General features: G+C 41.5%; 6 annotated features.

Annotated features, from left to right (window-relative positions):
* Nucleotides 12,538-13,049: an enhancer, noted in NCBI's record as "NANOG-H3K27ac hESC enhancer chrX:111778361-111778872 (GRCh37/hg19 assembly coordinates)". NCBI's record gives its function as "activates a minimal SCP1, AML or CMV promoter by ChIP-STARR-seq in primed H9 embryonic stem cells {active_cell/tissue: H9 hESC(primed)}" and the evidence as "EXISTENCE:reporter gene assay evidence [ECO:0000049][PMID:30033119]".
* Nucleotides 13,050-13,561: an enhancer, noted in NCBI's record as "OCT4-NANOG-H3K27ac-H3K4me1 hESC enhancer chrX:111778873-111779384 (GRCh37/hg19 assembly coordinates)". NCBI's record gives its function as "activates a minimal SCP1, AML or CMV promoter by ChIP-STARR-seq in naive and primed H9 embryonic stem cells {active_cell/tissue: H9 hESC(naive and primed)}" and the evidence as "EXISTENCE:reporter gene assay evidence [ECO:0000049][PMID:30033119]".
* Nucleotides 13,050-14,073: a biological region, named in NCBI's record as "OCT4-NANOG-H3K27ac-H3K4me1 hESC enhancers GRCh37_chrX:111778873-111779384 and GRCh37_chrX:111779385-111779896".
* Nucleotides 13,326-13,620: a silencer, noted in NCBI's record as "tiled region #9286; K562 Repressive non-DNase unmatched - State 24:Quies". NCBI's record gives its function as "represses a minimal TATA promoter and a strong SV40 promoter by Sharpr-MPRA in K562 cells {active_cell/tissue: K562}" and the evidence as "EXISTENCE:reporter gene assay evidence [ECO:0000049][PMID:27701403]".
* Nucleotides 13,562-14,073: an enhancer, noted in NCBI's record as "OCT4-NANOG-H3K27ac-H3K4me1 hESC enhancer chrX:111779385-111779896 (GRCh37/hg19 assembly coordinates)". NCBI's record gives its function as "activates a minimal SCP1, AML or CMV promoter by ChIP-STARR-seq in naive and primed H9 embryonic stem cells {active_cell/tissue: H9 hESC(naive and primed)}" and the evidence as "EXISTENCE:reporter gene assay evidence [ECO:0000049][PMID:30033119]".
* Nucleotides 14,074-14,585: an enhancer, noted in NCBI's record as "OCT4-NANOG-H3K27ac-H3K4me1 hESC enhancer chrX:111779897-111780408 (GRCh37/hg19 assembly coordinates)". NCBI's record gives its function as "activates a minimal SCP1, AML or CMV promoter by ChIP-STARR-seq in primed H9 embryonic stem cells {active_cell/tissue: H9 hESC(primed)}" and the evidence as "EXISTENCE:reporter gene assay evidence [ECO:0000049][PMID:30033119]".

Below are 20,870 nucleotides of genomic sequence, written 5' to 3' on the forward strand. Positions count from 1 at the left end.
GATTGCTGCTGTGGAGTGAAGGTAGAGAAGAGTATGTTTTGGACACAGAGGATCCTTCCAGGCACCTCTTTCTGCTGCCATTTCAGTAGTAAAAGTTAAAAGTGAAGATCTGAACAACCACATGCAGGCAGGACCACTGAAGACTGTGATACATTAGGAATGAAGGTTTAGGTCATACCTAAGGTAAGAACTTTGATCAGCTTAGGTGCTGATTGAGGGCCAAGAAAACATGGACTGAATAGTAGAGGAAAAGTTACAAAAAGAAGACTATAACATCAGCCTGAGTTTTGTTCTTGCTGTGACTTATCCCTTTCTCCTTCTTAGTCTGTTTTGTGTTGCTATAAAGGAATACCTGAGACTGGGTAATTTATAAAGAAAAAAGGTTTATTTGGCTCACAATTCTGATGCCTGGAAAAGTTCAAGATTGGGCATCTGGTGAGAGTCTCGGGCTGCTTCTACTCATGGTAGAAAGTGAAGGGGAGCCAGAGTGTGCAGAGATCACATAGCAAGAAAGGAAGCAAGAGTGGGGCAGAGATGCCAAGCTCTTTTTAACAGCCGGTTCCCACAGAAGCTAATAGAGTAAGAACTCACCTCTAAAAGAGGGCGTTAATCTATTCATGAGGGGTCTGCTCCCATGACCCAAACACCTCCCATTAGGCCCCACCTCCAACATTGGGGATCAAATTTCAACATAAGATTTGGAGGGACAAATATCCAAATCATAGCACCCTCCCATTCTACTATTTTACATATAGTGATTAACTTTATAACATAGTCTCTAGTGTACAGACTATCAAGATGAAATTGTGATGGAACCAGAAGATGAATATATGCCATCCAAAGATCCTGGACTTAGAGCTAGCTATAGTAACTGGTCAGAATTTGAGATGCCACCCTTTTGCATGTTTTCACTTATATAAGGAAAAATTGCATTATGTTATGTGGGGCACTTATTGTTGTGAAGTTTAAGTATGAAAAAAGGATATACGTTGTTACTAGTCAGCCAAAAATGTGAAATCAAGAGGACATTAGACATTCTTTTTGGCCACTGTCTTAGGATTGGTTCTCCAGGAGAGATTCTGTTTTAAAAATTAATTTGTTTAATTGACAAATAAATATTGTATATATTTATCATACACAACATGTTTCAAAATATGTATACATTGTGGAATGGCTAAATCAAGGTAATTAACATATGTATTATCGAACATGCTTTTTTGTGTGCAATGAAAACACTTAAAATCTACTCTCCTAGTAACTTTCAAGAATACAATACATTGCTATTAACTACAGTCACCATGTTGTTCAGTAGATCTCTTGAACTTATTCCTCCTATCTAACTGGAATTTTGTATTCTTTGACCAATATCTTCCCCAGCCCCCAGGAGCAGGGTTACCACTGCCCCTAGCCCCTGGTAACTACCATTCTATTCTCTACTTCTAGGGATTCAACTTTTTAAGGTCCTACATATAAGTGAGATTGTGTGGCATTTTTCTTTCTGTGCCTGGGTTATTTCACTTACATAATGTCTTCCAGGTTCATCCATGTTGTCACAAATGACAGGAGTTTCATCTTTTTAAAGGTGGAATAGTATCCCATTGTGTATAGGCACCATATTTTCTTTATCCATTTATTCATTAATGGACACTTACATATATTCCATATCTTAGCTATTGTGAATAATGTTGCAATGAATGTAGAAGTGCCAATAACTCTTCAAGATAATGATTTTATTTCCCGTGGATGCATACCCACCCCACAGTGGGACTGCTGAGTCATAAGGTAGTTCTATTTTTAATTTTAAAAGGAACCTCCACACTGTTTTCTACAATGGCCATACTAATTAACATTCCCACCAACAGTGTGCACAGGTTTTTCACTACACCCTCTCTAAAACTTCTTTGTTTTTTTAATAATAGCTGCTGCTCTAACAAGTGTGAGGTGATATCTCCTTGTGGTTCTTCGTTTGCATTTCTCTAATGATTAGTGATTCTGAGTAATTTTTATATACCTATTGGCCATTTTTATGTCTTCTTTTGAGAAATGTCTATTCAGATCCTTTGCTGATTTTTTAAATTGGATTTTTGTTTTCTTACTGTCAAGTTACTTGAGTTCCTTCTACATTTCAAATATTAACCTGTTATCAGATGTATAGTTCACAAATATTTTCTTCTATTCTGAATGTTGTCTTTGCTCTGCTGATTGGTTCCTTGGCTGTGCATGGGCTTTTCAGTTTGCTGTCATTCCATTTGTTTATTTTTCCTTTTGTTGCCTGTGCTTTGGGGTTCATATGCAAACAAAATCATTGCCATGCCCAATGTCGTGGAGTTTTCTGCCATGTTTTCTCCTAGTAGTTTTACAGTTTCAAGTCTTACATTTAAGTCTTTAATGTATTTTGAGTTGATTTTTGTGTATTGTGTGAGATTAGGGTCTGATTTCATTCTGTATTTGAATATCTAGTTTTCCCAACATCATTTATTGAAGAGATTCTCTTTTCCCAGTTGTGTGCTCTTGACACCTTTATCAAAATCAATTGACCATAAATGTATGGATTTATTTCTGGACTCTCCCTTCTGTTCCATTGGTCTCTGTGACTGTGTTTATGCAAATACCATGTTGTTTTAGTTACAATAGCTTTGTAGTATATTTTGATGTCAGAGAGTGTGATGCTTCCAGCTGTGGTCTTTTATGGTTCCATATGAATTTCAGAATTTCTTTTTCTACTTTCATGAAAAATGTCATTGGAATTTTGATAGGTATTGCATTGAATCTGTACATCATTTGGAGCAGTATGGACATTTTAACAATATTAATTTTCCGATCCACATAATGAGATATCTTTCCACTTATTTGTGTCTTCCTTAATTTCTTTCATCAAGGTTTTATAGTTTTCAGTGTATAGATCTTTACCAAGAGATATTCTGATATAAGTGATGTATTAGGAGAATACTCTCAGGAGAATCCTGTGAGAGAATTAGGGAAGCAGGATAAAAAAGGAGACGGGGCTAAACAAGGATGTAATTTCAGATGAAATCTAGTCTTAATCTTATCCCACAGTTAACTTCATCTTATCCCACGTAAAAAATGCTCTGAAAAGTCTGTCCTATTTTGAGATAAAGGGTTGGGAATTTTGTACTGCTAACCTAATTAGTTCATCAGCTATGGACAGGCTTAGGAGAAAGACATAACTCTCGAGCACCTTCAGGTGATATGGCTCAACTTACCCAAGGATAAACCTACCAAGAAGGTAACAAGTGTGAGCCTTTAGCAACAGCACCCACCACAGCTGAAGGATGAGCACATCAGACCAGTAACTGGGATCCCTGGGGATCTGGGTGGAGAACTTACAATGTCATCTAGAACTGCTCAGCTATTTTGAACACCCTTCCCCTGTTTTGGGAATTCCTCACCTTAAAAATCCCAGACTCCTCAAAGAAACCAGATAATTGCTTTTCAAGCCTCCCTGCTGCTAGAGTTGAGGCTTGTGATCCATTCTCCTTCAACCCAATGTGCTTACTCAGAGCTTGAATTAGAAGTTAGTGATGCAGAGAAACAGAAACTGTATGGAGTCCATTCTGGCCATGGCAGTGTCAGTCCCATTTAGTTGGCAGAAGCAGCAGTCACAATGGTTCTAGTGGTAGCATCTGGTGCTCACAATAAGTGATATTGGCAGTTGTCAATGCCCTGTAGCCAAAGACTGCCAGGAACACATCTGGGTAGTTGAACAAGTTGGGTTTATCCCTCATTGCTGCAAGGGCAAATGCACAGTTCAGGGAGAATGATAGAGGGGACTTATTACAAGATTGAGGTTTGTGTTAGATGATTTGGGTGAGGGTTTAAGGAAGTGGGGCTTTGCTCTAGATTGGATGCTGTCAGGAAGTGGGGATAATTCTATGATTTGGTTTCACAATAAATGTCACCTAGGAGTGGCAAAGACTAGCCCAAGGCTAAGCTTGCAGTTTGTAAAGAAGCAGCAATTACTCATATTGGCTAGGGGGGAGGTGGTCATTTTTGTGGTTTTGGGCAATGTTCATGTTTTTGCATTGATCTGTCACCCTCACAGAGTACCTCTATCTGAGGTGATAGTCTGAGAAACTATCCATGTTCAACAAGAGAACACCAAGACCTAGCTATGAGTTCTAGACCAGTTCCTTGCAACACGAAGGCCTCAGTGATAGCACCAGGAAAGCTTCCTCAATACAGGGTCTGCCTTTCTCTTCTTTACCATTCAAGCTGTGGTCTTCATGTCCAGCAGTATTGCCAGTGGTATCTCCATTTCTACATTGTGATTTTGATTGTTATTTTTGACTGCACTGCCTCCAACTTTGGTACTCTGGCTTTCTCAGAGATTCTGTGAGCTTCTCAAGAGCCTCAAATAATTTATTTTTAATAATTTACCTTATCCTTAAACTGTCAGTTTGTGTTTTGGTTCTTCACAACTAAGATCCCTGACTGATAAGCATTACCAACACACCTATACCCCAGCCCCCCTGGACAACATAGATTGTCACTTCCCCTTAAGACACAAAAAAAAAAAAACAAAATTGGCTTTAAGGAGTTTCTGGACCCTTTGTAAGAGTGAATTGTCTTTGTGACTCCTTAGATGGGCACTGACATATTCTAGGGTCAGGATGAACTAGTATCTGCAGGAAATTTGACAGAGTCAGATCCTATGGGATCCTGGATCCCTATGGGAAAGAATCAGATTTACTTTGTGTATAATTTATCAGCTACAGCCACCTCACTACCAGCAAGGTAAGAACAGATATTAGGCACAGATAAAAAAAAAAATGACTAGGAAATGAGACCTTCCATAATTAAGTGCAAGACTGCAGACTTAGAAAGCAAAAGAAGGAGATTTTATTGTGGGCTGTTTTCATGAAGAAGGCTTTAGGGAGTGAATGCAACAGAAGGTAGACCTTGAGCGACAAGGAGGCTTTGACTTAGAAGAAATAAGGGAGAAGGATGTCCAAATGGGGATGTTTAGCTCAGCCTTCTAGTTTCGACCTTAGACAATGACCTTAGGCCACTATTGACCCTAGGCTCATTGCTTGTGGTGACTTCAATGCGTCAATAAGCCATGGTCCTGATCCATATTACTGACTCTAAATCACTGGATTCTACACCAGATCTTTCCTCACTAGAATGTAAGCTTCATAAAAGCTAGAACCTTTTCTTTTTCATACTAACATCACTTGCTCCTTAAATAGTGGTCGACACATAGTAGACCCACGTTAAATATTTGTTGAATAAATGGATGAATGATAAGTAGATGAATAAATGAATGAATTATTTCCAACACTCCTTATGGAAAGAGGCCACAATAACCCTGCTTAGCTTCACCAATGTATTTCTTGTATTGTTTTGTGTCTTCCAAAAGCATTCTACTGCTCCCCAATCCTTCAGGAATAGGTTTATTTCTTAGGCTTTCAGCCTGCTGCTGACAAGTTCTTCTGTAGCTTCAGTTGAACTCATATTGTGCAACCAACCCAAGAGACACTGAACATAGCTCTGTATTCTAGGCCAATTACACTCAGCTGAACTGAGGTATTAATTAGGACAAAGACAGGAAGTGTTCTATTCCAAGATCTGCAGCTAAAGTAGAAGATTTTCTTTGAGTCAGGGACTGTTTCTAGGGAGCAGAGAAGACATGCATATAAGTCAGCTTATTAGCATTAGGCTCAAACTTAGGGGTAATTTTACCTCCATTTTTTGAGTTGGGAAACAAGCCTCCTGTTTGTTCTATTTACAAGAACTGTCAGATATAATTCATTTGAACAGTAATAAAGGGCCATCCATTTTCCCTGGAACTGCCTAGATTTGCCTAGAAAGTTTTACTTAAATACTACATCTCACCCTTATCCCAACACACACACACACACACGCACACGCACATGCACACACACACACACACACACTTGCCAAATCCTTTGCTCAGCAAGGTAGCTATTGTTGAGTTGTTTTGAGAACAAGAAGGACCTTATTAGTAAGTGCCTTTTGAGTTTTCAGTGATACTTGGGGAAATCAGAGAGCTGAGTTAGGTTGTGGGACATGAGGAAGAAATTAGAGAATATAAAAAAATGATTGAGGGCTGGAGGCAGGTGTCCAATAGGGAGTGTGAGGGATAAGGAAAACAAAATGCCCATTTCACATTTGATTTAGGGCCATTACTGGACCCTGCTCTCCAAGAATTTGATTGAAGGTGACTATAAATAGATAAAACTGCCTAGCTAAATGGGGATTTTGATAAACAAAAAAAAACTTAAAGTGGGAATAATAATAGTATCTACTTTATTGGGTTGTGAGGATTAAAGGGGTTAACATATGTAAAAACACTTAAACAGTACCTGGCACACAGTAAGTGCTATATAAATCATAGTTGTTAACATCATTTTTATTATTATTATATCATCATCAGTTGAGAGTATTTTAAATTATTTACACCATTTCCCTCTATTCTCCGGAGGTATGGGCCTTGGGAAACACCTTCCTGTACTGATATGCTTCCTTGCATAGACGGACAAGTACTGGGAACTTGGGCTATCCAGAATTGGAACAGAGCCAAATACAGAACTATGATCCTAGGGAAGGACTCTAGGCCCAAGAAGTACCATGGAACAGGGGCCACAAACATGTCTCTAGTATTAAAAATGGGTTTTATAATGTGTATACTTTAGCTACCTGTCTCAATGTACATGTTTACATGTTAAAAAATCCCTACCCCAGACATGAAAATTAAAATTCTGGGGGTAGAACACAATAATCTGCATTTTTAATAAGCTGCCAAAGTTGGGTTGTCAGATTTAAGAAATAAAAATACAAAATGTCCAATTGAATGTTATGTTCAGATGAACAGCAAATCATATTTTATTACAAATATGTTCCAAATGTTGCAAGTGGCATACTTATACTATTATTTGTTATTTAATCTGAAAAATTATTTGTTGTTTATCTGAAATTCAAATTTAACTGGGTGTCCCGTATTTGATCTGGCAGAATACACCTGATTCTGATGTACTCAGAAATTAGAGAAGCACTCCTTTAGAAGAACTTCAGTTCTGGACAAATTCCCTTTCCAATAATTTGTGTTAAGGAAACTGGAGAAGTAAGCAGTTATTGAAACAGGGGTGTGAAGAGGGGGCTTTGGTCAAAGAGAAATACCAAAGTCCCTAGTTCACTAGAACTAAACGGAATCAGGGCTGTACAATGAGGTGGAGGTAAGTAACTTCAAGTCACCCAACCAGGACCCTTTAAATTAGAACCAAGGTCTGGATTTTTCCTAGAGCAGTAGTTCTCAATGGGTAGAAAAGAACCTTTCTCCAAAAAAAAACATATTACAGGGCCTCATCCAATGAATCATAAAATTAGGGTTCTGGAGTAAGTGATTTTTTTCATTTTGAGGACCACTATCACAGTTACAGCTTGCAAATAGAACAGAAACTACATCTGGTCCTTATAAAATGTGCCTATTGTCTCTATCCTGACTCAGCAGATAGTAGATTTCTTCAGTACTACCTAGCCAGCCATTTTCTACCCCTATCATACCACAGGTTCTTCTCTCCATTTGTAGAATGACAAGCAACTTAATAACCCTTGCAGCTCTGTGTCCATTCCCTTTCATCCTGGTGATTGCCAAGGACTTAGCAGGCACTAGTGTGCAGTAATGCTTACAAGTTTGAGGAGACTGGATAGACAGGTGGATCCATTTTCCTAACAGATATATTCTGAAAGTTCTCCTACTGCCCTTATGTCAAGTGTGTGCTGTATTTACAGGTCTTGTTTTCTGTCAGGCCTCTGAGCCCAAGCCAAGCCATCGCATCCCCTGTGACTTGCACATATATGCCCAGATGGCCTGAAGTAACTGAAGAATCACAAAAGAAGTGAATATGCCCTGCCCCACCTTAACTGATGACATTCCACCACAAAAAGAAGTGTAAATGGCCAGTCCTTGCCTTAAGTGATGACATTACCTTGTGAAAGTCCTTTTCCTGGCTCATCCTGGCTCAAAAAGCTCCCCCACTAAGCATCTTGAGACCCCCACTCCTGCCCGCCAGAGAACAAACCCCCTTTGACTGTAATTTTCCTTTACCTACCCAAATCCTATAAAACGGCCCCACCCTTATCTCCCTTCACTGACTCTCTTTTCAGACTCAGCCCGCCTGCACCCAGGTGAAATAAACAGCCATGTTGCTCACACAAAGCCTGTTTGGTGGTCTCTTCACATGGATGCGCATGAAATTTGGTGCTGAAACCCAGGAATTTGGTGCCGTGACTCGGATCAGGGGACCTCCCTTGGGAGATCAATCCCCTGTACTCCTGTTCTTTGCTCTGTGAGAAAGATCCACCTATGACCTCAGGTCCTCAGACCGACAAGCCCAAGGAACATCTCACCAATTTTAAATCAAGTAAGCAGCCTCTTCTTACTCTCTTCTCCAACCTCTCTCACTGTCCCTCAACCACTTTCTCCTTTCCACTCTTCAATCTCTCCCTTCTCTTAATTTCAATTCCTTTCATTTTTCTGGGAGAGACAAAGCAGACACGTTTTATCCGTGGACCCAAAACTCCGGCGCCGGTCACGGACTGGGAAGGCAGCCTTCCCTTGGTGTTTAATCATTGCAGAGATGCCTCTCTGATTATACACCCACATTTCAAGGGTGTCAGACCACGCAGGGACGCCTGCCTTGGTCCTTCACCCTTAGCGGCAAGTCCCGCTTTTCTGGGGAAGGGGCAAGTACCTCAACCTCTGCTATCCTTGTCTCTACCCCTTCTCTGCTTTTCTGGGAGAGGGGAAAGTACCCCTCAACCCCTTCTCCTTCACTCTTAGCGGCAAGTCCCGCTTTTCTGGGGAAGGGCCAAGTACCCCAACCCCTTCTCTCCTTGTCTCTACCCCTTCTCTGCTTTTCTGGGGGAGAGGCAAGTACCCCTCAACCCCTTCTCCTTCACTCTTAGCAGCAAGTCCCGCTTTTCTAGAGGAGGGGCAAGTACCCCAACCTCATATCTCTGTGCCCCAATCCCTTATTTCCATGCCCCAACCTCTTATCTCTGTGCCCCAATCCCTTATTTCTGTGCCCCAACCCCTTATTTCCATGTCCCGACCCCTTATTTCCATGCCCCAACCCCTTATTTCTGCACCCCATCCCTTTTTTCCATGCCCCAACCTCTTATCTCTGTGCCCCAACCCCTTTTCCCACTTTTCTGGAAGGTAAGAACCCCCGAACCCCTTACCTCCATTTCTCTACTCTCTCTTTTCTCTAGGCTTGCTTCCTTCACTATGGGCAACTTTCCACCCTCCATTCCTCCTTCTACTCCCTTGGCCTGTGTTCTCAAAAACTTAAAACCTCTTCAACTCACACCTGACCTAAAACCTAAATGCCTTATTTTCTTCTGCAATGCTGCTTGACACCAATACAAACTCGACAGTAGTTCCAAATAGCCAGAAAATGGCACTTTGAATTTTTCCATCCTGCAAGATTCTAAATAATTCTTGTCATAAAATAGGCAAATGGTCTGAGGTGCCTGACGTCCAGGCATTCTTTTACACATCAGTCCCTTCCTAGTCTCTGTGCCCAGTGCAACTCATCCCAAATCTTCTTTCTTTCCCTCCCGCCTATTCCCTCTGTACCAACCCCAAGCGTTGCTGAGTCTTTCTAATCTTCCTTTTCTACAGACCCATCTGACCTCTCCCTTCCTCCCCAGGCTGCTCCTCGCCAGGCCGAGCTAGGTCCCAATTCTTCCTCAGCCTCTGCTCCTCCACCCTATAATCTTTTTATCACCTCCCCTCCTCACACCTGGTCCGGCTTACAGTTTCCTTCGGTGACTAGCCCTCCCCCTCCTGCCCAGCAATTTACTCTTAAAAAGGTGGCTGGAGCTAAAGGCATAGTCAAGGTTAATGCTCCTTTTTCTTTATCCCAAATCAGATAGCGTTTAGTCTCTTTTTCATCAAATGTAAAAACCCAGCCCAGTTCATGACTTCTTTGGCAGCAACCCTGAGACACTTTACAGCCCTAGACCCTAAAAGGTCAAAAGGCCATCTTATTCTCAAAGTACATTTTATTACCCAATCTGCTCCCGACATTAAATAAAACTCCAAAAATTAATTTCTGGCCCTCAAACCCCACAACAGGATTTAATTAACCTCACCTTCAAGGTGTACAATAATAGAAAAAAGTTGCAATTCCTTGCCTCCACTGTGAGACAAATCCCAGCCACATCTCCAGCACATAAGAACTTCCAAATGCCTGAACCACAGTGGCCAGACGTTCCTCCAGAACCTCCTCCCACAGGAGCTTGCTACACGTGCCAGAAATCTGGCCACAGGGCCAAGGAATGCCCGCAGCCCGGGATTCCTCCTAAGCTGCATCCCATCTGTGTGGGACCCCACTGAAAATCAGACTGTTCAACTCACCTGGCAGCCACTCCCAGAGCCCCTGGAACTCTGGCCCAAGGCTCTCTGACTCCTTCCCAGATCTTCTCGGCTTAGCGGCTGAAGACTGACGCTGCCCGATCGCCTCGGAAGCCCCCTAGACCATCACGGACGCCGAGCTTCCGGTAACTCTCCCAGTGGAAGGTAAGCCCATCCCCTTCTTAATCAATACGGAGGCTACCCACTCCACATTACCTTCTTTTCAAGGGCCTGTTTCCCTTGTCTCCATAACTGTTGTGGGTATTGATGGCCAGGCTTCTAAACCTCTTAAAACTCCCCAACTCTGGTGCCAACTTAGACAATACTCTTTTAAGCACTCCTTTTTACTTATCTCCACCTGCCCAGTTCCCTTATTAGGCTGACACTGTAACTAAATTATCTGCTTCCCTGACTATTCCTGGACTACAGCTAAATCTCATTGCCGCCCTTCTTCCCAATCCAAAGCCTCCTTTGCGTCCTCCTCTTGTATCCCCCCCACCTTAACCCACAAGTATAAGATACCTCTACTCTCTCCTTGGCGACCGATCATGCACCCCTTACCATCTCATTAAAACCTAATCACCCTTACCCCACTCAATGTCAATATCCCATCCCGCAGCACGCTTTAAAAAGATTAAAGCCTATTATCACTCGCCTGCTACAGCATGGCCTTTTAAAGCCTATAAACTCTCCTTACAATTCCCCCATTTTACCTGTCCTAAAACCAGACAAGCCTTACAAGTTAGTTCAGGATCTGTGCCTTATCAACCAAATTGTTTTGCCTATCCACCCCATGGTGCCAAACCCATATACTCTCCTATCCTCAATACCTGCCTCTACAACCCATTATTCTGTTCTAGATCTCAAACGTGCTTTCTTTACTATTCCTTTGCACCCTTCATCCCAGCCTCTCTTCGCTTTCACTTGGACTGACCCTGACACCCATCAAGCTCAGCAAATTACCTAGGCTGTACTGCCGCAAAGCTTCACAGACAGCCCCCATTACTTCAATCAAGCCCAAATTTCTTCCTCATCTGTTACCTATCTCGGTATAATTCTCATAAAAACACACGTGCTCTCCCTGCCAATCGTGTCCGACTGATCTCTCAAACCCCAGCACCTTCTACGAAACAACAACTGCTTTCCTTCCTAGGCATGGTTAGCGCGGTTGGAATTCTTACACAAAAGCCAGGACCACACCCTGTAGCCTTTCTGTCCAAACAACTTGACCTTACTGTTTTAGCCTAGCCCTCATGTCTGTGTGCAGTGGCTGCCACTGCTTTAATACTTTTAGAGGCCCTCAAAATCACAAACTATGCTCAACTCACTCTCTACAGTTCTCATAACTTCCAAAATCTATTTTCTTCCTCATACCTGATGCATATACTTTCTGCTTCCCGGCTCCTTCAGCTACACTCACTGTTGAGTCTCCCACAATTACCGTTGTTCCTGGCCCAGACTTCAATCCGGCCTCCCACATTATTCCTGATACCACACCTGACCCCCATGACTGTATCTCTCTGATCCAACTGACATTCGCCCCATTTCCCCAAATTTCCTTCTTTCCTGTTCCTCACCCTGATCACGCTTGATTTATTGATGGCGGTTCCACCAGGCCTAATCGCCACACACCAGCAAAGGCAGGTTATGCTATAGTACAAGCCACTAGCCCGCCTCTTAGAACCTCTCATTTCCTTTCCACGTGGAAATCTATCCTCAAGGAAATAACTTCTCAGTGTTCCATCTGCTATTCTACTACTCCTCAGGGATTATTCAGGCTCCCTCCCTTCCCTACACATCAAGCTCGAGGATTTGCCCCACCCAGGACTGGCAAATTAGCTTTACTCAACATGCCCTAGTCAGGAAACTAAAATACCTCTTAGTCTAGGTAGATACTTTCACTGGATAGGTAGAGGCCTTTCCTACAGGGTCTGAGAAGGCCACCATAGTCATTTCTTCCGTTCTGTCAGACATAATTCCTCAGTTTAGCCTTCCAACCTCAATACCGTCTGATAACAGCTGAGCCTTTATTAGTCAAATCAGCCAAGCAGTTTTTCAGGCTGTTAGTATTCAGTGAAACCTTTATATCCCTTACAGTCCTCCGTCTTCAAGAAAAGTAGAATGGACTAAAGGTCTTTTAAAAACACACCTCACCAAGCTCAGCCACCAAAAAGGACTGGACAATACTTTTACCACTTTCCCTTCTCAGAATTCAGGCCTGTCCTCAGAATGCTACAGGGTACAGCCCATTTAAGCTCCTGTATAGACGCTCCTTTTTATTAGGCCCCAGTCTCATTCCAGACACCAGACCAACTTAGACTGTGCCCCAAAAAACTTGTCATCCCTACTATCTTCTGTCTAGTCATACTCCTATTCACAGTTCTCAACTAGTCATACATGCCCTGCTCTTGTTTACACTGCTGGTTTACAGTGTTTTTCCAAGCCATCACAGCTGATATCTCCTAGTGCTATCCCCAAACTGCCACTCTTAACTCTTGAAGTAAATAAATAATCTTTGCTGGCAGGACTATGCTGAATCTCCTTAGGCACTCTCTAATCAGATATCCTGAGTCGTCCCAATTCTTAGGCTTTTTATACCTGTTTTTCTCCTTCTGTTATTCCATTTAGTTTCTCAATTCATCCAAAACTGTATCCAGTCCATCACCAATCATTCTATACGACAAACGTTTCTTCTAACATCCCCACAATATCACCCCTTACCACAAGACCTCCCTTCAGCTTAATCCCTCCCACTCTAGGTTCCCACGCCGCCCCTAATCCCGCTTGAAGCAGCCCTGAGAAACATCGCCCATTCTCTCTCTCCATACCACCCCCCAAAAATTTTCACTGCCCCAACACTTCAACACTATTTTGTTTTATTTTTCTTATTAATATAAGAAGGCAGGAATGTCAGGCCTCTGAGCCCAAGCCAAGCCATGGCATCCCCTGTGACTTGCACATATATGCCCAGATGGCCTGAAGTAACTGAAGAATCACAAAAGAAGTGAATATGCCCTGCCCCACCTTAACTGATGACATTCCACCACAAAAGAAGTGTAAATGGCCAGTCCTTGCCTTAAGTGATGGCATTACCTTGTGAAAGTCCTTTTCCTGGCTCATCCTGGCTCAAAAAACACCCCCCACTGAGCACCTTGCGACCCCCACTCCTGCCCGCCAGAGAACAAACCCCCTTTGACTGTAATTTTCCTTTACCTACCCAAATCCTATAAAATGGCCCCACCCTTATCTCCCTTCACTGACTCTCTTTTCAGACTCAGCCCGCCTGCACCCAGGTGAAATAAACAGCCATGTTGCTCACACAAAGCCTGTTTGGTGGTCTCTTCACACGGACGCGCATGAAATTTTCCACAGCCACATACCATCTATTGCATAGTGCTGTTATCGGCCCAGCACAGCCAGGTTCTGCCTTGTGCCTACTGTCTTATCACATTTTCATTATGACCCAAATGTCAGCACAAAGTAGCCTACTTTCTGTTGGATTAAGAAACAACTCATTCTGATGAGACTTCAATTCTCAGTCCTGCAAAAATGAAAGGAACGCCTTTTCATGGGAAGGCCTGACAGAGCACTGGTGCCAATGGCTTGGTTTAATTGCTGTTTTCCACTGATTGTGCTGCCCACTAGTCCCAGGTGTGGCATCAAAGGGATGCTTCCTGGCCAAAAAGGAAATCTTTGTCTTAACTGCTCTCCCACCCCCACCCTCATCCCAGCACGACCAAAGCCCTCTGGAGAATGGACCACAGTCTACAGCATCAGCTCATTAGGAAGTGACATTCCAGGCATTCCAGAGATTAATTGGCCACTGTTAAGACAGAATAGAGGCCATGCAACAGCCAAACAGGGAAACCACACACATACAGACAGATGCAAACATACAGACTTTTTATTTCAAAACATGGCAGAATTGAGGCCTACAAAATGCATAGGTAAAAACCAAATACCATACACCCAAATGAGGAATATTCCTCATAGTGATGTGCATTAGCATTCCCCATGGTACTGGCCAATTTTTCTTGTGTGGGAGTTATTCTTGTCATCTTATTTGTCCCCATACGCTTCTGAACTGTGAAATCCTTGAGGGTAAGGTCCATGTCTTTTTCATCTCTATTATTTACTCACAGCACTTAGCATAAGGCCTGGCTTAGAGTGGGCACTTTATAAATGTTTATAAAATAGAAGCGGTGGCAGAATACAGAAAGATGGGCAACAGAAGAGGAAGTGTGGGGCAACTTTCAAATCTGGACCAAGTGTCAGCAGTTGAATCCAAAGTAGAAAAAAAGCAATTATAGAACAGAAGAAATGGTGACAAAAGAGCATAAAAATGGGCAGACTGCAACTTTGACCAATGTTTGAGCTGGAAGTGGCCTTTCCCTATCAGCAAGAATTACAGGAAAATTCAAACTGCTTATGTCACCTGCCATCGAGAAGATTTTTTAAAATGAGAAGAGATTAATGAAGACAAATAAAATGAAAAGGAAATTATCATCTCAACCTTTTCTCAGTTCCACATTTACATTTGTGCTATTCTCCCCTCCTTATTCCCCCTGCCTACGAAATCTTATCCATTCTTTAAGGCATAGCTCCACAGGTCTCCAGAATGTTGTTGAAATTAATGTTTTGTTTCTGGTCTCAATCCAAATAAGCTGTGCTTTGGGGGAACAACAGACTCTCATGTCTTTGATGGAAGTCAACGTGTCTTCTGTTTCTCTTCTTGATACTCCAAGCACCTAGAATAGTGTTGGACCTACTATAGGGACTTAATAAATATTTGTTGTTTGCCTGATTTATGGTGAATAGAAAACTAACTCTGCAGACTGCTGGAGATAATCCCTCTCCTGTGGAAACAGTTTTAATTTGGCTTCAATAAATAAAAAACTAGGCTCTTCTCACACAGAATAGCCCTATTATCCTTTGGGGATTGTTTTTCATTGCCTAGTGGAACAGCAAGTCTGTTATGATTAAGGAATAGAAGGCGTATGTACCTCTGGTGTGGGAAGTTGGAACGAGTGACATAAAACTCTTCAGTGAGATTACTGATGGTTTGTGTTTTCTCTTTAATCAAGAAAAAGGGACTAGAAGCTATGGAGGAAATTTTAGATCCCATATCCCTTGATTGTTAAACAACAGTAACAGGATTCTGGCTTACTTCAAAGAATGGTCAGAGGACACACAGGGATGACATACTAAAAGATGGCAAGAAAATTAAAGGGAGTAGGACATGCTCGAGCACAACTGATCAAAAGTAGGGTTAAAGAATCCTGCCAGGGAAGTAGAGCCCAGATGATCAAATCTGTGGAGCGAAGAGGAGCCCAAATTCCAGAATTTTCCACATGCCTAATACAGGACAGTGTGGTATGTAGCCTTCTAAGATTCCCCACCCCTTGCAATGATCTCTGTCTTCTAGGATTTGCATTCTTGTGTAATTCCCTTCTGTTGTTAAATCTACTCCCTTAGTTTGTAGACTGGATCTAGTAACTTGCTTCTAACTAATAGAACATAACAAAAATGAAGGAATATTACTTTTGAGATTCAGTTATAAATGATTTTGACTTCCATTGTCTTTGTACACTTTCTCTTGCTCTCTTCTGCTTGCTCACATTGATGAAGCTATCTTCCATGTTACAAACTGCTCTACAGAGAGGCTCACATAGCAAGGAACACAGAGCATCTTCTGGCTCTGGCCCACAGCCAGTGAAGAACAAAGGCCTTTAGTCCAACCGCCCCCAAGATCTGAATCCTGCCAACGACCCCTGAGTAAGCTTGAAAGCACTCTCCCACTAGAACATGGAGGTACCTGTGGCCCTGGCCATCACCTCGTTTGCAGACTTTTGAGAGACTATGGGTCAGAGAACCAAACTAAGCCACCTTCAGATTCCTGACCCACAGATACTGTGCAATGATAAATGTGTGATGTTGTAAGCTGCTAACATTTAGGGTATTTTGCTACACACGATGGATCTATTAGTCTGTTGTCACGCTGCTAATAAAGATATACCTGAGACTGGGTAATTTATAAATAAAAGAGGTTTAATTGACTCACAGTTCCACATGGCTGAAGAGGCCTCACAATCATGGCAGAAGGCAAGGAGGAGCAAAGTTACGTCTTACATGGCAGCAGGCAAGAGAGCATGTGAAGAGGAGCTGCCCTTTATAAAACCATCAGGTCTCGTGAGACTTATTCACTATCATGAGAATAGCGTTGGAAAAACCCACCCCTATGATTCAATTACCTCTCACTGGGTCCTTCCTGTGACACGTGGGAATTATGGGAGCTATAATTCAAGATGAGATTTGGGTGGGGGCACAGCCAAACCACATCAATGGATAACTGATAAAACAGAAAAAGCAGCCTCTGTGCTCATGCAAGGGTGACAGTGATGTGGGCCTTTAACATTTTGAGGATACAAGTGACAGCAAATATGAGATTACAGTGCTGATCATTATAAGGCAGCAGGGAAGGGGACTATTTTAGAAACAAGATCCTATAAAAGCCTTTTGCCCTTTACCTATTGTTTACCATGGACGCATAATGGAAACAGAATCAAGGACATAGAGAAGGATGCTTCAACTAAGATCCAATTCTTTTGAGTAACAAACTCAAAGGAATTCACAGCCTGAGTCAGTATCATGGTCTAGTCAGCCCAGACATCTATATTTACCAGTTACCTGGAGGGACAGAAATTTTCCCTGTGACCTCTTTCCCAAGTGTTCACTTGAATCACAGGGACTTGGATGGGAAGGGGAAATAGAAGGTCCCTATTAGGTCTGTAGCCTCCTAGATGTGCTGTGTGAATCATAGAGGAAGTCAATAAGGAGGCAAATGAAGAATATTAACTTGAGCAGGATGGTGAGAGGAAGGCAGAGTGCCTGCAACAGTCGCTGAACCTGTTCACTGTTTACTGGGATAGAAGTTGGGGGGTGATGTGGGGCAAGATGAAAGTCAGAGCTGAGACAACATGCAAGTGCTTCCAGTACCTATGTTCCAGCTACCTTAAATCATGGTTTTTTTTGATCTGTTGAAATGGGGTGGTCGGGGATGGGGTGAAAGAGATTTGCAAAATTTGGGCCCAAAATGATGTTGCCTTATTTTTTATTTCTAGTCCTTCTAGAGCAATGACAACACAGTGCTTTATGCAAATCATCACAGACCCTGCTACAATGCCAGTTCTCTACTGGTCCTAGGTCTCACCTTAGTAGCCCTGCCTCACTGTCATTTGTGCCCTTTCACAATAATAGGAAATAATTATCCGATATATTTCATTGTTTGAATTTCACAAGAAGCCTATGGAGTGGATAAGAAAGGCATTGTGGTTCCTATTTTATGGATCAGCAAGTTGATACCCATGAAGTTAATCAACTGGTATAAAGGCACACAGCTAGTTAGTGGCAGAGCTGGTGCAGAAGGCAGGTATTTGGATTTCTAATGCAACACCCTTTTGAAAAATTATTGCATGTTGCTTAGGAAATTCCTTGAGAAGAAAGTGTTACAGAAATATCACTGCTCATTACTGTATAATTGTACTGGCCTTTTCAATAAATAAAATATTTGTTTTTCCTTTCTGACCTAGGGAATGACAGAAATGGTTTCATGTCTACAGTACAAATAAGCCCCGAATGCAAGTTTCATGTTGCATTGGATGATTTCCAGAGGTTCCTAATGTCATTTAGTCTTTGAAAGCATTTTCCAAGTAGCAATCCACAATATATCAAAAGGTATTCCTCTAAGGGAAGATACTATGTTTATGTGATGAGAACCTGATGAGTTTAACAGAGATAAACAGGTTTCCTCACGTCAGGGCTTCTCAGTGCCTTATTAAGGATAATATGCAAAGTAACAAGATCAGATTTAAAACATGCAGCTCTACCAAATTTATTGCACACTGGAATTCATTTTCTCAGAGCATCTTGAAAGACTGGAATATATCAGAATATAGTTTGGGAAATGTTGGTCTATGAACTATATAAATCGTGCTTTGTAAGTTTATTATATTAATACACATGTCCTGGAAACCATGAAGAAAAATGATTGCACCAAACACACAAAGTCTTCTAGGCTGTGGCTTGCTGGGACGCATGTAAGGAACTGTACATTGGAACTGTTTCAAAACTTGTTTTATTTCCAATAACAAGGAAAAGCTCTTCTCTCCTAATGACGGGTGAAATGAAGCGGAGATTGGAAAAGTGAGCCAAACACTTAAACTCTCCACTGAGCTGGCACCTGTCTACCCCAGCATGTTTTCTGAGCCCTCTGTGCAGGCCCTAAACAATAACAGGCTATGCTCCATTATTCAGCCAAATATCCCAGGAAGCTTCAGACCATAGCTAAGTTTCTGGGCTTGGCATGTTTTGAAAGACATAATCCTGGGGAAAAAAGGAAAGACCAGTGTTAGGCCAATGAATATAACCCAGAATATAATCCTGGATTTACAGTTGATTTTTTTCAGGTTGAGTAGATGAGCATAGGAATAAACTGTCTTGGTAGACTCCTGAAGGGTCTCTGTGTGATTTTTCCGGGACTTTTGGTTAATCTGAGATTGGAAACAAACATAATTGCACAGTGTTTTCCAACACAGCTAGATTTATTCCTGCTCTTTCTCCCATCTTTTTGGAAAAGATGGTATAATTCCTAAGAGCAGTTGCTCCAATTGCTTTCCTTAATTTGGGAGTGAAGCTCTGGCTTAAAAGTCCAATTTCCCAGAATATTAGACCTCAAGAAGACCTTGGAAAGCATCTAGACTTCTTCTGGCTCAATTTAATTCTAGCAGGAATTGTTTTTAAAACTCAAGGGTAAGACTATTGCCTTATAAGAAACTGACTTGGACATTGGACCCCTACCCCCCAACTCCTCCCCAACAAACAAACACTAATTTCTTTTTCTGAATTGTGTTCTGAATCTAGCAGACAACTACTCCAAATGTGAAAATGAGTGGTTTAAACTAGAATGGTGGTATGCAAATGCCTGCCTATACTCCGAAAGCAGTAATTAAATGGCGGCATGAAAATCACTGGAGGCATTATTTTAAAATGCACATTCTTGGTTCCTTCTGCCAGATGTATTGAACCAGAATCTCTAGAAGAGGAGCTTAAGAATGTGATTTTTAACAAGTTCTTCAAGTGATTTCAATGCATAGCCAGGGTTGAGAAACCAATAGATTAGATGATCTACAAGATCCCTGCTAGACCTAACATTTATAGGTTCCTTCATTTTTTAAAAAAAGAGAGAGATGTAGATCCACCACCTATCATGTGCCGGGAAGTTTCCTAGATTTGCAGACTTTCTCAACCAATGTTTCTCAACTGAACCACAGAGCACAGAAAATGATCTGTGTAACTATCATTTTAATTCTCCTAAGGATAGTTCATAATGAATAACGTTATACATGCATAGGAAAAAAAATGAATGTGTTGTATACAACAGTTGCCTTACTACATTAGGATTTAGTTCTCTTAGGTTTGATAAAGGCTATTAGTAGAGAAACAATTTGTGAAGAACAAAGTCTCTGAAATATAATGTGTCTATACTCTAGATGGTTGAGCTATAAGATGGTGCCTCCATTTGCCTGGCCACCTGAGTGACTGTGTGAAACAAGCCCCCTTTTTTCTCCCCAGCCTATATCAGTAATATATAATGATCAATAAACAAATCACTGTTGAGATTTATGGGTTAATTTTTTACCACTGCACAACTTAGTCTATCTTGAGGAAAGCAGTCACACTAAAAAATTTGGACTTTGTTCAAACATAAAGCTATTGAAGGATTTTGGGCAGGATAAGTCACATAATCAGCTATACATTTTTCAAAGGTGAGTCTGACTGAAGGGTTGCAAATGGATTTAAAGAGAGCAAGGGTCAATGTAGGGAGATCAACTTGTTAATGAAATAATGATTGAATTAATGTGTTCAGCCCAAAATTAATTATTTTAAAACTCCTCTATGACAGGCATGGTCCTAAGTGTTGGAGATACGAAGATAAACAATATAATTATAGGTGGTGTTAAATACTATAAAGAGAAAAAACAGGGTGCTATGAAAGAGAAAAAGGAAGGGCTTCCTATTTTATATAAAAGTATCTGTGATCGAAACATAACGCAGACCACATATGTAATTTTTTAAAAATCATCCTGCTTGCTATAGGCAAAATGAAAAGGCTGTAGCAGCACAAGAAAGAGCTCATCAAGTTTAGTGACCCAGGCCCCCAGACCAAGAAAAGAAGGTAGGTCAAGGAACAGACACACCCTGACCTATTCATTTTGGAGAATTGAGTGAAAGTCTTGAGTTAGCTAGTAGACAATTTTCCTGAAAGCCCTGTGCAAATATATTCAGAGAAAATGGGAGCAGCTGATAAAATTATCAGGCTTGGGTGTACATAATTTTCAAAACTCATGTAATTGAACACTAAGTGGTTGTGCATTTTATTGTGTATAAGTTATACCTTAATACATTAAAA

This window comes from Homo sapiens, chromosome X, assembly GCF_000001405.40.
Source record: "Homo sapiens chromosome X, GRCh38.p14 Primary Assembly".
Classification (NCBI taxonomy): Eukaryota; Metazoa; Chordata; class Mammalia; order Primates; family Hominidae; genus Homo; species Homo sapiens.